Source organism: Homo sapiens, chromosome 17, assembly GCF_000001405.40.
Source record: "Homo sapiens chromosome 17, GRCh38.p14 Primary Assembly".
Lineage (NCBI taxonomy): Eukaryota > Metazoa > Chordata > Mammalia > Primates > Hominidae > Homo > Homo sapiens.
The window spans coordinates 57,751,298-57,768,068 of NC_000017.11; the positions used below are offsets into that span (position 1 = coordinate 57,751,298).

General features: G+C 47.4%; 2 annotated features.

The window, feature by feature from the left end:
• Positions 10,301–10,921: an enhancer, noted in NCBI's record as "H3K4me1 hESC enhancer chr17:55838959-55839579 (GRCh37/hg19 assembly coordinates)". NCBI's record gives its function as "activates a minimal SCP1, AML or CMV promoter by ChIP-STARR-seq in naive H9 embryonic stem cells {active_cell/tissue: H9 hESC(naive)}" and the evidence as "EXISTENCE:reporter gene assay evidence [ECO:0000049][PMID:30033119]".
• Positions 10,922–11,541: an enhancer, noted in NCBI's record as "H3K4me1 hESC enhancer chr17:55839580-55840199 (GRCh37/hg19 assembly coordinates)". NCBI's record gives its function as "activates a minimal SCP1, AML or CMV promoter by ChIP-STARR-seq in naive H9 embryonic stem cells {active_cell/tissue: H9 hESC(naive)}" and the evidence as "EXISTENCE:reporter gene assay evidence [ECO:0000049][PMID:30033119]".

A 16,771-nucleotide genomic window follows, 5' to 3' on the forward strand; every position in this document is an offset into this window, starting at 1 on the left:
TTGGCATCACATCAGTTGTCAGTCTTAGGGGTGGGAATGTTCTATTCCCACTCTCAATTTTCTAAAGGACACATTGTGACGCTGATACCTGGACATTTATACAAACTCTTTAGCAAATCCATTTCCATTTCCCAGACAAATCAACTCCCCAAGTTCACTATTTGTTCAGACTTTGCTTTCTATGTTGAGAGGAAGCGTGGCAGCAGCTGCATTGTTTAGGGCAGGGGTGAGACAACTCTTTTGCACGGTTTGCGCAATATCAGAAAAAAATGTCTAGGCCAATTTTTTCAAACCAACTTTTAAAATATCATGAGATGCAATATTTAAAACTTGTTTTAAGCATCCTTTAAATTTATTTCCCCTATTATTGAAGGACTTTGTGATTGTTACTGAAACATCAGAACCTGAAGAGGCATGGTATGCTGCAGTCTCACTCTGCACTTTAGGCCTGCAGCACATTTTCTGGGCAATGACATAGATTGTGTGTAGCGCTGAGGGATTTGGTGTTGGGGAAGCAAACTGGACTCTGAGCCCAGCCAGAGACCAGGGACAAAGAAAAGCCCCATTAGGAGTTCCTGGTTCTGGTAGAGCAAGGGGTCGGGGGACTGTTTGGAAGCCTGTCTCGGTGGGGACAAGAGGCATTGCTGCAGGAGGCGATGGGTACCAAGCACAGCAGGGTGAGGAGAGATGCCCACGGGCTCTAAAATAAGCCTGCACACAGACAAGCTACTGCTCCCATCAGCCCGCACCCCTCCAACCAGCGACAACTTCCTCAGGGCAGAGCCAGAGCCACTGTCTGCATGTGGGGGTGTCAGGCTGAATTACGTGAGCTTAAAAACCAAATCCCCTCCTTCCTGGGTTACTTAACTGTCTGCCTGGCAAGGCTGGGAGACTACTGGTGACAGACACCAGGGCCTGCCTGGCTGCTCCAGACAGAGAAGCTTTGATCACCTGGAAAACTCCAGACACCAGGCCTCCTAATGATGAGTAATGAGCTCAAACCATCCGAAAGTTACCCTGCACCATGCACGGGGGACATGCACAGCTTCCACAGAAGCCTGGTGCAGGAAGCCAGTGCCCAGTCATCTAGTGTCCTAAGACAGAGTTTGACCCTGACTCCCACGCCACCCACCCCAGCCCCACCCAGAGTCTTGCCAGTTTGTTGATAAAGCAGGGAAGATTGTAAGCTCTGGGCACTTGCCTGTTCCAAGGGTTGATCTGGGGTCTAAAGGCCAGAATTTATCTTTATATTCAAGAATACAGCCTCCTCATTTGTTCATTCATTCATTCACTCATTCACATATTCAACACACATTTACTGAATGACTAAGACAAGCCAGGCACGGTGCTGAATGCTTAGGATAGAAGACACTCAAATGAGGCTTCTGTCCTGAGGGGATTTGCCATCTCCCATGGAGATAGCCTGCAAGTCCAGCATCACAAGACTCTGTGATAAGGAGCCTGACAGACTTGGCTACAGGGTGTTAAGATAGTCCAGAGGAGGGGCCTCTAAATTAGAGTGTCCCTTCCTTCTGGCAGTGAGAATAGGAGCAGGATGGGATGGAATTCAAATATTCCGGGTCCTTCTAGTCTAGGATCCTAGGCCTAGGTCCTTCCAGGCTATTTGAGCCTGTGAGAATCCCCAGTCTCAAGCTGTACCTGCATCACTTCATCTGGGATTTCCTTCTGCTCTGATGTTGGCTGGAAATATGTTAACCTTGAGTTCCCCTTTTGGCTTCATGGTAACTTAAGCCCACTGTGTCTTAAACTTTGACATACATTAGAATCATCTTGGGAGAGTGTTAAAATATCATTTTTAAGTTCTGAGTCCCACTCCAAAGAGATTCTAATTCAGAAGGCCTTGGGAGACTGAAATTAGGGTGATCAACCATCTTTTTTTTTTTAATAGGCCAGGTCTCACTATATTACCTAGGCTGGTCTCGAACTCCTGGGCTCAAACAATCCTTATGCCTTGGCCTCCCAAAGTGCTGGGATTACAGGCATGAGCCACTGCACCTAGCCGATCAACCATCTTGATTTACCCAGAACCAACATGGTTTCCCAGATATGAGACTTTCCATTTTAAAACTGGGACAGTCCCAGGAAAACTGAACAGGTTGGTCACCCTAGCTAGGGCAGATGCTGTCCATCCTTGCCCAGTGGCATTCCTTTCTTCCTTGAATTATAGATTCCCAATTTTGATGATGCAGTAACATGTTTAAGGAAGTTGAGCCTTCACCCAGACCCAGGTGGTAAACCTAGGTGCATTCAGTAATTCCATTCCCTGTTGCTATTGGTTTACTTAAGGTAGGCCTGTGATTCACTTCTGGCCGAGAAGTTGTTAAAAGAAAACTTATGAAAAAATATTGTCCCTGAAGTTTAGAAGTGGGACTGAGAGGGAGGGAGAAGGAGAGATGCCTGCTCTTTCTTCTGCCTTGGATGCAGTTGTGTGATAACATGATGGTTGGAACTGTGGCAGCCATTTTGCAATCCTGAGGAAAACCTAAGGATGAAAATTCAGCTGTGCTAAGGACGAACAACTAGAATAAAAAGAGCCTCCACTGTTTAATAATAATATCATTGATACTCTATACCAAACCTGAAATTACCTACCTCCAATATAATTGATATGTGATTAAATGTCTTTCTTGATCAAACAACTGTTGTCTGATATTCTGTTAATTTTCTGCCAAACACATCATGATTATTACAAAAGGCCTAGAAATCAACATTTTTAATAAGATCCCCGAAATCATTCTGATGCCCTCCATTGAGCTAGCTAATCCAGTGATTCTCAAAATGTGGTCCTCAGACCAGCAGCATCAGCATCCCCTGGGAACTTGCTGGAAATGCACATTCTCAGGCCCCCCCAGACCTTCTGAATTAGAAACTCTGGGAGTTTCTGGGGCCCGTCAGTCTGTGTTTTAACAAGCCCTCCAGATGATTCTGACAATTGCTAAATTTGAAGAATCGAGCTAATCAATACCTGAGACTCTCTGAGTAGTATCAGATCTGAGAAACTTCTGGATGGAACTTTTCATCTTAACCCAGGTCTCAGTTGTTTCTTTATATTGCTTGGGAAATAAAGCAGGATGTCTTCTCACCTTCTGTGATTTTTCTCCTTCCTCCTCAGGCCTTTCCCCAGTTAATCTTGCATTAGTTGGATGCTTTGACCAGATTTCCTGGCCTGTGTTATTTAACAGCATGTAGTGACAGGGCAGGGAGGCAGTTCTTTGCAGTCAGGCCTGGCCAGGGCAGGAGGTAAACTTGGTCAACCTAGCAGTTAAGGAGAGTGCATGGCAATGCCCCTGGCCCAGTAACCCTGGGTGAGTGTTTATACCCTTCACCAATACTCAACTCATCAGACTTTGCATTACATGGCAGCCAGCCTGGGAGGAGAAGAGGGGAGGCCCAGGCAGCAACTTCTCTTCCTTCCTAGGGAAGCCTTGCCTTGGCTGGCCTTTTATACTCCAGGCAGTCCCCTACTTCTCAACATAATGAGTTACTCCAAACCCCGGTAGTAGTCTAAAGGCAAAAACTGAAAAATAGACTCCATGTGGCAAGGGGAATCCATTCTCAGTTCACTAAAAAAGGAAGTTACAGGCCGGACTCAGTGGCTGCTCATGCCTGTAATCCCAAAACTTTGGGAGGCCAAGGCGGGCACATCACCTGAGGTCAGGAGTTCGAGACCAGCCTGACCAATATGGAGAAACCCCGTCTCTACTAAAAATACAAAAAATTAGCCAGGTGTGGTGGCACATGCCTATAATCCCAGCTACTCGGGAGGCCGAGGCAGGAGAATTGCTTGAACCCGGGAGGCGGAGGTTGCGGTGAGCCAAGATCGCGCCATTGCACTCCTGCCTGGGCAACAAGAACAAAACTCCATCTCAAAAAAAAAAAAAAAAAAAAAGGAAATTATAAAATCCCTAATTACACCTCTTCTTTGGAATATTTCCTCAAAAATAATTTTCAGTATTTCACATGTGCTCCTGAATCTTCCTCTTTACAACTGAGCACACTGTCAAAGGATCATCCAATGAGCATCACATTGTGAATAATCATTTATTTTTTAAAAATATATGAATTCTCACCCTTAAAGCATTTTCTATGTGCCAGACACAGGGACTTTATGTGCATCATGTTTTGAAGTCAAGAGCCACCAGCCCAGGCATGCCTGCCAAGGCTCACCTTTGTCCGGGTGAAATTAGGTTGATGAGTCCTATTACAGCAGCTTTATTTTGTCCATCTCCCACTCAAATGTATCAGATAAAGCCAAATGCCATAAAATATTCAAACACGACCCACTTCTGCTGTGTGATGCAAGCTGGCAAGACTGCCAACAAGGACCCACTGGCCTGCAGTGCCCCTGGGTAGCTGAGAGTGCTGTCCGTCAGCTAAGGTTCTGAAAACCAAATTCAGCTTTCAATGGTTTTGAAGTGTGTTATCAGAAAGTGAGGGCTGTACCAAAGTTCCGCCTTGCCTCTCTAGTCAGGGGGTCTGTGGATCTCTGACTCCCACTGCCATGGGTCTTGTCTTGGGCGCACCTCTCAGAGGGCCCCTCCAGCCACCCTTGTTTACAGTCTACCAACAAGTAAGGCTGCTTCCAGGAGCAGGGCCCCCTGGTGCTCAGGTCTTGCTCACACTCACAGGCAGACACACTTCCAGCTCTTGGGTGGTCACTGGCCCACACACTTCAGTGGTCGAGCTAACTCATGATTCATACTTTTCTTGGCCATCATCATTTGGTCATTATTATAACCAAGGCCTAGATGCCAAATGGTCCCGCTCGTACAATAGTTGAGATACGCAGTAAAGTCAGAAAAGGCCACTAAGCAGGAAAAACCATTTAAGGCTATGTGATGGTCATGCTGTTAAGGGGAGGCAATTTGGAGAGTCAGCCTGAGAGCAAGGCAAAAAGACCCAACCACTGCCGAGCCTGACTTTGGTTTTTCAACCAAGCCATGGGAGGCAAGCAGGCTGTCTCCTTGTCTCCTCCCACCCCCTGAATGTCCTCTGGTAGCCAGGTAGATGCCCACCTCATGCCCTTTTACCTCTGGTTTCTGTGCTGGGAGCATCTCAGCTGCTTCCTGCCAGCTACAGAAACACTTTTTTGCCATAAAGCCAGTCACTTCCCCCGATCCTAGACCCTGTCAACCCATAGAATGAGGTAAAAAGCCCCAAGGAAGACTTTTGAGCCTGGCTTTATTTTTCTTTTCTCTTTTTTTTTTTGAGACAGAATTTCACTCTTGTTGCCCAGGCTGGAGTGCAATGGTGCAATCTCAGCTCACCGCAACCTTCGCCTCCTGGATTCAAGCAATTCTCCTGCCTCAGCCTCCTGAGTAGCTGGGATTACAGGCATGTGCCACCACGCCTGGCTAATTTTGTATTTTTAGTAGAGATGGGGTTTCGTCATGTTGGTCAGGCTGGTCTCGAACTCCTGACCTCAGGTGATCCGCCCGCCTCAGCCTCCCAAAGTGCTGGGATTACAGGCGTGAGCCAACAGCACCGAGCGGAGCCTGGCTTTTAAAGCCTCCTTCATTTGATTCCTAGCACTGGGGTTGGGGAGGGGTCAAAGTGATCCCATAGGTTGAAGATGACAGGTCAGCAGGGGTTGGCCAAGGCTCTGGAGGTTGTTACTTTTCAGACACAGTGTTCCGGGGAGCAGTTAAAAGGCTGGTCTTTGGGAGAGGTGTAAACTGTAAAATCCTGCTAGGCTGGGGTTCCAGTCAAAGCCCATGAGCAGGCAACAAGATGCTCAGGCCCCCTCCCGAGACACACCACCTCCAGGTAACAAAGCCTTCAGGAATCAATCAACGGCTGCAGGATGCACCATTCTGTCTGAGCGGCTCCCTTTTCTCCCTCTGCTCTTGCCGCGGGAGGTCAGAGTTCACATCAAATGTCATTAATCTTCTTCCTGGGGGCTGGGGGCTTATTGGACAGTCCTATTAATCAGAGGCCTGTCACACCCACAGCCTGGCTGGGTCGCCATTGTCCTGTTCCTCACCTATCATAGAAAGATTAGATTATCAGTGACAACTGAGACACCCTTTGAGTCACAGGAAAGCTGGAGATTGGGGTTGCTTTTATTTTTTTTATATATCCTCCTGATTTGAGGATGAGCTGTTTATTGTCTTGTCACACTGCATCCTTTTCTTCAAAGAATCAGCTTTAAGAATCCAGTTTGTCAAACTGGACAATCACTGGCAAATCCAAAAAAAAAAAACCCTCAGTGACTTTATCAAAAAAGGTAAAATAAAGCAGAAGGTTTTAAATGGGTCCTGAAAGGATTAGAAAATAAGTTGCATTTGACAACAATTAATCTCTGAAAAGCAGGAGCTTTGTAAAAAGGAACAGGCAGAAATGTGGGTTCTGGGGTTCCACACAATGGGGATGTGTCCATTCCCTGTGCGCCCGTCCCTCTTCCAGAGTGGAGTCCAGTGGGGACCTGGGGCTGCAAAGGCATGAGAGACCGACCTTCCAAGCTTCCTCCTAACTCTCTACCCGCCAGTGTCAACAGCAGCAGCAACAACAAAACAGAACAGAACGAAAACACCAGGGCAGAGCAGCGCAAAGACCTCAGCCCTCCGGGTCTCCCAATTGTGTGACAGACTCAGTCACCCAGCAGGTACTGGGACCACCTATAGAGGCCCTGTGGGGGTCATAAGTGAAGGGGACACTTCTAATCCCTTTGAAGCGTAGAGACCACGGGGAGCACATGAAACACCTAAGTCAACTTAGATGGGAGCAGGGCCTTGGAGAACGTGGACTCACGGGGCTACAAATGGAGATGCCTCAAGGGCCCAGGAAAGAATGTAAACCAGGGAAGCAGGCTGTGGGAAACCCACTGGGAGTGGTGAGGACTCCAGCAAGAGAGTGCTCCGCACGAGCCTGCCTACAGGGGTGCAATGACCATTCCCTCTCACCGCACTGTGGGAAGGGGAGCTCCAATCCCCCAGATCTTTCCGGTTTCATGAGATTCCGGAGACTCAGGTTTGTATGTTAATACTCTGTATTTTAGGCTGGGCACGGTGGCTCACACCTGTAATCCCAGCACCTTGGGAAGCCGAGGTGGGTGGATCATGAGGTCAGGAGTTCAAGACCAGCCTGGCCAACATAGTGAAACCCCATCTCTACTAAAAATACAAAAAAAATTAGCTGGGCGTGGTTGCGGGTGCCTGTAATCCCAGCTACTCAGGAGGCTGAGGCAGGAGAACGGCTTGAACCCGGGAGGCGAAGGTTGCAGTGAGATGAGATTGTGCCATTGCACTCCAGCCTGGGCGACAGAGTGAGACTCCATCTCAAAAAAAACAAAAAAACTCCGTATTTTAATCGTTGGCAACATATTCAATTTTTTTTTAATCACTGAACATACTAAATAAAACCCACAGGCAGGTCCAGTTTGGCCCCAGGCCTGGGATTGGTGCTTGTTGGAATCCACCTGCCTCAGTGCCAGTAAGGACCAGGAGGCCCAGAGAGGCTGGTAACTGCAAAGATCACACATCTGGCAGGGCCAGTGTAAGAGTCTGGTTTAGACTCCCAGCCCAGCGCTCTATGCTCCAGATCTGAATACAGAAACACATATGTGACCAATTAGTATTAATAGATAAGCTCATTGGAGGGCAATAAAAGGGTAAGAATGAAGAGAAAAGCCTTGATTTCACACCTTCACTGTGAAAGCAGAGAAGAGACCAAATTGGACAAGGCCCAAGTGATTATTGCTGTACCTTTGATATCATAGGCATTTAATTTTTCTACCTAAAAAACTAGCCCTGGGTGCTTCTCTGTGTGGGTGCTATAGCAGCCGGGGCAGGGGGACAGGGAGTGCTGCTCTGTGGCCCTCCAGTTATGCTGTGGGCTGCCAGCTCTGTGGAGGTGTGTTACCCACTTGGCCATAGTCAAACACTGGAGCTGGGGAGCCAAACTACCTTTTCAAATCCACTCTCTGCCACTTACTAACTGTGTGACTTCAGACAAGTTACTCAACTTCTCTGAGCTTTAGTTTTCTTATTTCAGAAATGGGGATAATAATATCTACCTCAGAAGATTGTTGTGAAGATTAAAACTAGCATAGAACGAGTGAGCTGTGATTGTGCCACTATACTGTAGCCTGGACAACAGAGCAAGACCCATCTCTAAAAAAATAATAATACATAAAAATAAATAAAAGTAGCATAAAACAGAGCCTGTCCCAGAGCAAGTGTTCTATAAATTGTTGTTATATAATATAATCATGTTTTATACCATCTTCAAAGGTGCCTGGTATTGAGACACAACATTATAGGAAACTGAGTCTGGGAGGAACCTTAGAAACCATTCCTAGTTTGATTATCTAAGAGAAGGGAAAAAAAAGTGCTGGGGTCCAAAGATGGAAAATAGTTTAATTTCTGTAGCAGGCACACGTGAAAATCTCTGCATTCCTACATAGGTAGTTCACTTTTTTTTTTTTTTTTTTGAGACAGAGTCTCACTCTGTAGCCCAAGATGGAGTGCAGTGGCATGATCTTGGCTCACTGCACACAACCTCTGCCTCCCAAGCTCAAGCGATTCTCGTGCCTCAGCCTTCCGAGTTGCTTGGACTACAGTTGTGCCACCACCCCTGGCTAATTTTTTTGTATTTTAGTAGAGATGGGGTTTCACCATGTTGCCCAGGGTGGTCTCGAACTCCTGAGCTCAGACAATCTGCCCGCCTCAGCCTTCCAAAGTGCTGGAATTACAGGCGATGGTTTCACTTTTAACCATTTGCTTAGCCGTATGCCAACCATTTTGTTTTCCTGCTATAACACCATTGGAAATAAGGAAAGTTTCTACTATAAATATATTTAAAAGCAAAGCCATACAAGCCTTCAGACTCCCAAATATTCCAGCAACGTCAGCATAGCCAACACTGCATAACGTCCACTGCTATGCTCATTAAAGAAAGATTTGTGAGATGACTCAGGGCTGTATTTGTCCACTGCAAGTGTGTGACCAGCTTCATTTTCAAAAATGATTGTTCCCCAAGGTAGTTTGTGATCATTAGCGAAAAGCTGAGCCTCAAAGCAATTTCGATGTTTTGGGAAAGATGCTGTATGTCTTTCCATACTGGCTTGATAAATTAAGGTCAAACCAGTTGATTATTTGTGAAAATTGAACACTTGAACATGTTAACTGTTGACAAACCTTGACAGGTATCATGTCTGCCTTTATTAGGAGATTAATTAAAGGCCACTGGAGGTGCTGGCATGGCGTGAAAAGCCTGGATTTGGTGATAGATAGATTTGGGACAGATCCTGACTCCTTACTTGGCTCTAAGGCCTTAGGCTAGTTTCTTAAACTCTCTGGATCACCATTTATTTGTGTGGGAAATGGGGGTAATAAAACCTACTTCATAGACTTTGTGAGAATTAAACAGAAAATGTCTGTGCTCAGGAAATGCGAGATCCCTCCCACCCCACCGCATCCCCTCTAGAAAGATGAGGCGAGTGTTCATCTGTGGATGGGCATTCACTGAGGGACTCTTGTACGGCGCCCCTTGCTGACTGCTGGGATGAATCGGCTCAAAGCCAAATTTAGGTTAATGTCAAATGAGAGGGGAGAACAATGAACGCATCATTCTTTATGCTTCTGTTTAGGCTTCTGATCTAAAGACCAATTGTTGAGTTATTTAAATAAGAGTCTGCTCCCTCTTTGGAGATGATGTGGAATCTGAAGTTAGAGCCCTGGCTGAGTTTCAGTTTAAACACACTATTTTTGATTTACTGACCTTTCTGCAACCTTTCACTATCCTGAAGCAATCCGAGAGGGGAAGAATTGTGAGGTATCTCCCTGAGCACCAATGTGGGGTGAGGTACTGGCCCTGAGAGGATATTGAGAAGGCACATCCCGTGCAGGAGACCTCTGGCCCATCCTTCAGCTCTCGGGAAGTTCCCCAAGGGTGGGTGACTGTCTACCTTGGGAGTTCAAAGATGAATGATACCACTGCCAAATAAAAACTGAGAGAGTAGGGGGTCTGGAGTCTGAAGCCTGAACTAGAGCTAACTATGACAGCCAACATTCACTGAGCATTCACTCTGAGCTAAGCATGATGCTTGAAGCTTTTTTTTTTTTTTTTTTTTTTTTGAGATGGAGTCTCTGTTGCTCAGGCTGGAGTGCAGTGTCACAATCTGGGCTTACCACAAACTCTGCTTCCCGGGTTTAAGCAATTCTCCTGCCTCAGCCTCCTGAGTAGCTGGGATTACAGGTGCACGCCATCACGCCCGGCTAATTTTTGTATTTTTAGTAGAGACGAGGTTTCGCCATGTTGGTCAGGCTGGTCTTAAACTCCTGACCTCAGGTGATCCACCCTCCTTGGCCTCCCAAAGTGCTGGCATTATAGGCGTGAGCCACTGCGCCTGGCCAATGCTTGAAGCTTTAAACCCTGTGTTGCATCCAAGCTTCCTATCAGCCCTATGAGGTAGATATGATTACTGTCATAGCTGAAAATACTGAGAAGTTACACTTGTTGCCCAAAGGCCACATGGCTCCCACCGAGCAGAGTGGGAGCTATGTACGAGTGACACCCACTCTCTTACCTGCTGGTCACACAGTTTCCCCAAACACATTGATTCCTTCAGCGCTCCCACAAGAGAATTCCAGCAGCCACGCCTGCACCTCATCCCATCTTAGGGCAAAACTCCCCTTCTGCTTGGAAAAGACACACGATAGGCAGGGGCTTATGCTTTCCACCAGGGGCCCTTTCTCTGCACGTTGGGACTCCAGAGGTCACGTGGGCCTGGGGTTTAACCCTGCAATGCCGACACATGCACGCATGCACACAAATACAAAACCACAAGTGGAATTCCTAGTACCCTGCCCAGCCTGCAGGGGAGGGGCAGTGGCCTCTCTTTCTTCTTACCACCACTCCACCCCCAGCCCCCCTACACCGGCATCCACTGATCTGCTCCCTGCTGGGCTGTTGGAGCTAAGGAGGGACAAGTTTGTCTCCCACCCACTTCCAGGGCTGTGTCCTTGGCTTCGATGACCTTACAAAGGCTCTCACCTAAAGGGCTATTTAGGTTTAGGTTTAAGGGGCAAGAAGAAAAGAAAAGAAGAATAGCTGCAGCCTAAAATAAGTATTATTGGCAACCAGGAGAGAAACTCGGGGCTCGTAGAACCAAATGAAGAATTTGTAAGCTTTCAGCCACCTGAAATTGTGGCGCTTTCCCCCACCCCATGCACTTAATAAGAGCTGACAGCCTGCATTGTTCTGCCACGACAAGGTACGCTGCAGCCCAGTGATAGGGCGAGAGCAGCAGGGGGACAAAGGCAGCACAGCCGAGGAGGGGCAGAGCGAGGGGTGAAACATAAAGACTGAGGGCTGGGGGGGGCGACTCCTAATCAGGAGCCTGGCAAGAGACCCCGGGAACGGCAGCCCACTGACAGTGGAGACCAGGAGCTCCAGATGGCTTTTTGTCTCAATAAAATAAAAAATGTAATCTGACAGGCTCTGGGATGGGACTCAGGGAAACAAAAGTCAGCGGAGCAGGGAGCGGGAGTGGGCCGGGTTAAAGGTATCAGAGTCTGAGAAAGACAAAAAGAAGTGGCTGTCTCTTTGAGCAATTATGGGCTTTGCAAATGACATTTAATTCCAGAGGTGCATGCCAGGGACAAAGCCAGTTGTTTTCTGGTCTTGGCAGGGGTAGAGGAATTGGAAATACACTGGACATTTGGCCTCGGAAGAAAGGTGATAACTTTGCCAATTACCCACGGGTGTGGGCTCTTTGTGTCCACACTCTTCTCCCCACCCCAAGTCATTAGGGGATGATATAAAGATACAGGGCTTCCTGGTGCAATTTAATTGCTCATAGACCGAAAAGTGATGAGCTCCATCGAATTGCACAGACGTCCTGTAGGAGACCAGCTGCCGTATTAATGTGGCTTCTCAGAGGGGAACACACCCCCACCTGCTTCACCAGGAGCACACAGAAGCCCAGGGAAACAGTGGTCCCCCTGTGGCCTCTGATGGGGCTGTCGCTTTTTATTAAGTAATCTCTGCCTTTCAGATCACTGCATGTTTTCTTCCCAAAGGTCTTTGTTGCTGTGTAGGCCCAGCACACAGCAGGTTCCCAATAAATATTAAACAGCGGATGCTAGTGATGTCTCCAGATGTCACCATAGGGGACAAATTGTCACCCAGGGGATGACCCCACACTAGGACTATGGTGTGGTCACTATGGCTGTATAGCACAAAACCTAAGGCATGATGGGTTAGGGGTTCTGAGGCAGGGAAATGGGGCAGGAGGGTTAGTGGATATTACAAAGAGCCTCTTAGACAAAAATTATAAAGCCAGAAGATGCATAGTTCTGGTGAGGATGTAGGGAAACAGGCACTCTCAGATAATGGTAGAGGAGAAGGAGTAAAGGCTTTTCCAAAAACAATGTATCAATAGTGATTAAAATGTAAATGGCCAGGTGCAGTGGCTCTTGCCTGTAATCCCAGCACTTTGAAAGGCTGAGGTGGGTGGATTGCTTGAGCCCAGGAGTTCGAGGCCAGCCTGGGCAACATGGTGAAATCTTGTCTCTACAAAAAATAAAAAAATTAACCAGGCATGGTGATGTGCACCTTTAGTCCCAGCTGCTTGGGAGGTTGAGGTGGGAGGATGGCTTGAACCTGGAAGGTGGAGGATGCAGTGAGCCAAGATCACGCCACTGCACTCCAGCCTGGGAAACAGAGTGACCTCAACAGATCACTTGAGGTCAGGAGGTCGAGACCAGCCTGGCCAACATGGTAAAACTCCATCTCTACTAAAAATACAAAAATTAGTCCAGCGTGGTGGCGTGTACCTGTAATCCCAGCTACTCGGGTGGCTGAGGCAGGAGAATTGCCTGAAACAGAGAGGTGGACGTTGCAGTGAGCCGAGATCGCACCACTGCACTCCAGCCTGGGCAACAAGAGAGGCAGACAGACAGACAGACAGAGCATGTGCATGATTCATAATTTAAAAATTAAAATACACATTCAAAAAACATCAAAGTGTTTTAAGCATGAACTTTGAAGTCTGATCAGGCCATGAGTCCTGGCTTCATCTCTCTCTTGGTTATGATTTCAGGCAAAGTCCTCTGAGCTTGTGTTTCATGGCAGCATGGTTCGTAATAGACCTTTGTTGTGTGTCTCTGAGCTTTGGTTTCCCCAACTGTAGGCCAGAGGTAGTAATTGTTTGTTTGTTTGTTTGTTTGTTTGTTTGTTTGTTTTGAGACGGAGTCTAGCTTTGTCACCCAGGCTGGGTGCAGTGGTGCAATCTCGGCTCACTGCAAGCTCCACCTCCCGGGTTCACGCCATTCTCCTGCCTCAGCCTCCTGAGTAGCAGGGACTACAGGTGTCCACCACCAAGCCCGGCTAATTTTTTTTTGTATTTTTAGTAAAGACGGGGTTTCACCGTGTTAGCCAGGATGGTCTCGATCTCCTGACCTCATGATCTGCCCGCCTCGGCCTCCCAAAGTGCTGGGATTACAGGCATGAGCCACCGCATCCAGCCGGCCAGAGGTAGTAATAGTATTTACCCCACAGGGTTGTTGAAAGATTTAGATGAGATATGCATAGAAAAGCTCAGTGCCTGATATACCCTCAGTGCTCAATAAATAGCACCAGTTGATGTATTATAGACCGAGTGACTCTAAGTGTCTCTCAGGAGTGGGAAAGGAAGGAGAGAAAGCAAGAGAGGACCCCAAATTACCCAATGAACAAACATCTCAAAAATATCCAAGGTCCTGGGATGATCTGTAAACTAAGGACACAAAGGAACTTGCTGACTAGTGTAACTTCCTCTTTGTCTCTTGGCCCAACAGGTCTTGGTGGATTCTCATTACCTCCCTGCCTTGTGAATTCAGATAACAGAGACAGAAGTTTGAATTCTGGGCCCGCAGACCAATGTCAGATGAGGGGTCCCATCACCCTTAGGTAATGATGAAAGCACAGGATGCATCTTTTTCCAAAAGCTGTCCGCCTGGTTGGGGCTTCTAGGGCCCTTGGCCATCAACGGGATTTGCTCTCATTCAGAATGACTTCCTGTCCCCAAAAGAATGTTTGTTAGGTTAGAAAAGTGATCACCAGGGCTATCAACTGAGAAAGCAGAAGGAGTTGACTCACATCGTTTGTGCTTATTAAATACATGTTAAAGGATTAAGTGAAAACTAGAAAAAGAGAAAGAAAAGAGATTCACCCCTAAGAAAGCCGGGTGTGTCCCTGGCTGCCCTCTCAGAAGGGCCGCTCAGAGTGAGCTGGAAGAGATGTGCATGGCAGCCCTTTGGGTATCTATTTTATTCTGAGGAAACTGAACCCAGAAAAGGTGAGAGTTCTTCTAGAGATGCCTAGCAAGTGAGTGGCCCAGGCAGAATCTGATTTTGAGTTTCTAGATCAGTGCTGTCCAAGAGACATATAAAAAGAACCATATATGTGATTTAAACTCATGGCATAGCCATATTAAAAAAGAAAATGAGACAGGTAAAATAAATTGTAACATTATATTTATTTAATATATCTAAAATACTATTTAACATATAATCTATATTTTAAAATATAGGCTGGGTACTGTGGCTCATGCTTGAGGCTGGGAGTTCAAGACCAGCCTGGGCAACATAGCGAGATCTTGTCTCTTAAAAAGAAATTTTTTTTTACATTAGCCAGTGTGGAAAAAAAAAGGAAAAAAAGAAACAAAAATGTAAAAAATAAAATAAAATTAGCCAACGTGGTGGTGTGCTCCTATAGTCCCAGCTACTTTGCAGGCTAAGGCTGAAGGATCAATTGAGCCCAGAAGTTTGAGGTTACAGTGAGCTACGATGGCACCCACTGCACTAGAGCCTGGGCAACCAAGTGAGATGCTATTGAGAGAGAGAGAGAGAGAGAGATTTTCCATCTTTGTGTTTTATAATAAGTCTTCAAAACTCTGCTGTGTGTTTCATTCTTCCAGCACATCTCAACAAGAACCAGGCACATTGCAAGTGCTCGCTAGCTAACAGCTAGTGCTGCAGCTCTAGGTTCCTAGCCAAGTCAGTTTCCTTCAGATGTCTGGCTGCAATGCCAGGGTGCATGTGTGTTGGGGCCAGGTTGGGTGGGTGCAAACTGGGAGGCACAGGAAAGAAATTCAAGATTTGGTAGGTACAAGGCACACTTGTAAAGACAGCTAGCAGCAGGGGGCCAGGCTAGGTACTGGGTGGGATAGGACAGAACTGAGCTTTAGAAATTGATGGGAATGAGTCAACCAAGAGCTGCGGCCACAGCCAGGACAGAAAAAACTCAGGAGGGGTGGGGCAGGAGAAACAATTCCATGAGGGTTGAGGCTGTGTGAGCCCCAGAGAAGGCCTGGCCACCTCATTGGGCAGGGGCAGCCCCCAAACTCTAACAAGGAGATTCTTCTTCAGCCAGAGGACCCAGCTCTGTGAGTCCAGGGAGCTTTGCCAAGAAGGATACTGCTGTGTTTGCTGCTCTTCCTGTTTCTAGGCACCACCCTACAGCATGAGTCTTTCTTTACCCCAACCCAAAGCAAACAGTGCAAGCTTGAGACAGCAATGCAAACTGTAATGACATTTAGGAGATGACCACCTCATCACGATTAGGCATGAGTGAGCCTTGGTACAAACCTCTGCCAGGCACTTACTAGCATGTGACTTAGGGAAAGTTACTCTCTGAGCTTCAGTTTCTCAGCTACAAAATGGAGGAGCTAATGGTGCCAACCCTGTTGCCAACCTCACAGGGTGACTGGGTGTGTTGGGGGAAACAGCGCTCCACACAGTGGAGGGCTCGATGTGCACTTGTGCCGCTACACACAGGCAGTCCACAGTTCCCTGCACATCTCATCTGATGCTGGAGCAGGAGGCAGCCTTTCCACTCATCTCACTGAGAAACAGAAAGAAGGGAGGCCTAGTGCTCTGCCAGGGCCCCACAGCTACAACCCAGCTTCAGGGTTCCCACTCTAGGGCTTGTTCCATGACTAGGTTGAAGACATTTCTGGTAAGTTTGAAAGGTGGGATTCTTTTTACTTTCTCTTTTCTTCTCTCTCTCTCTCTCTCTCTCGTGTGTGTGTGTGTGTGTGTGTGTGTGTGTGTGTGTGTGTGTGTTTTGTTTTGGCTTTTGTCGTTGCTGTTTGTTTGTGCTTCTAACCAAGAGGTAAGGCAGAACTTTAAGAAGCTGATGTCTTCCCATCACTTCTGTTGGTCCAAGTCATCCTCCTGAAAACCTAGGTGTGGGCTGAGCAGCTCAAAAGCCAAGACAGCAGAGAAAGCACAGAGTGGTGAGGGTCAGATGTGTGAGGGGAGAGGGTCCACTTGATGGAAAGAAGGGAAAGAGAGGCTGTGGGTGGGGAGGTTTGCCAGATGCCTGGCTGGGCTGACCCACCCCAGGTTCGGGAGGCCTAAAGAGCAGCTGCATCTTTTGAGGACTGTATAAGGGGTCAGAAGCCCCACCTCTTCCTACCACCCTTGTACAGGGGAGAGCAGGGTTCTCATTTCTACAGCGCCCCCCACCGCCGGTGGGGCAGGGATGCAAGCATTATCTCACCTCTTACTCTGTGTCCTGGAAACAACCTGGGAAGTCATCTTGTCCAAACATTTTGTTTTGCAGGAGATGAAACTGAGGCAGAAAGCGGCTGAGAAATATTCTCAAAGTCACACAGCTAGAGTGGCTGAGCTTGGTTTTATGCAACTGATCGGAGAAGGTAGTGGACAGAGGAGAAGAAAGGAAGAGACAGGGCCCCAGGGCAAGAAAGAAAGGGATTGACAGGGAACGCCGCTGCAGGGAAGGGACTTCGGGGACTGCTCAG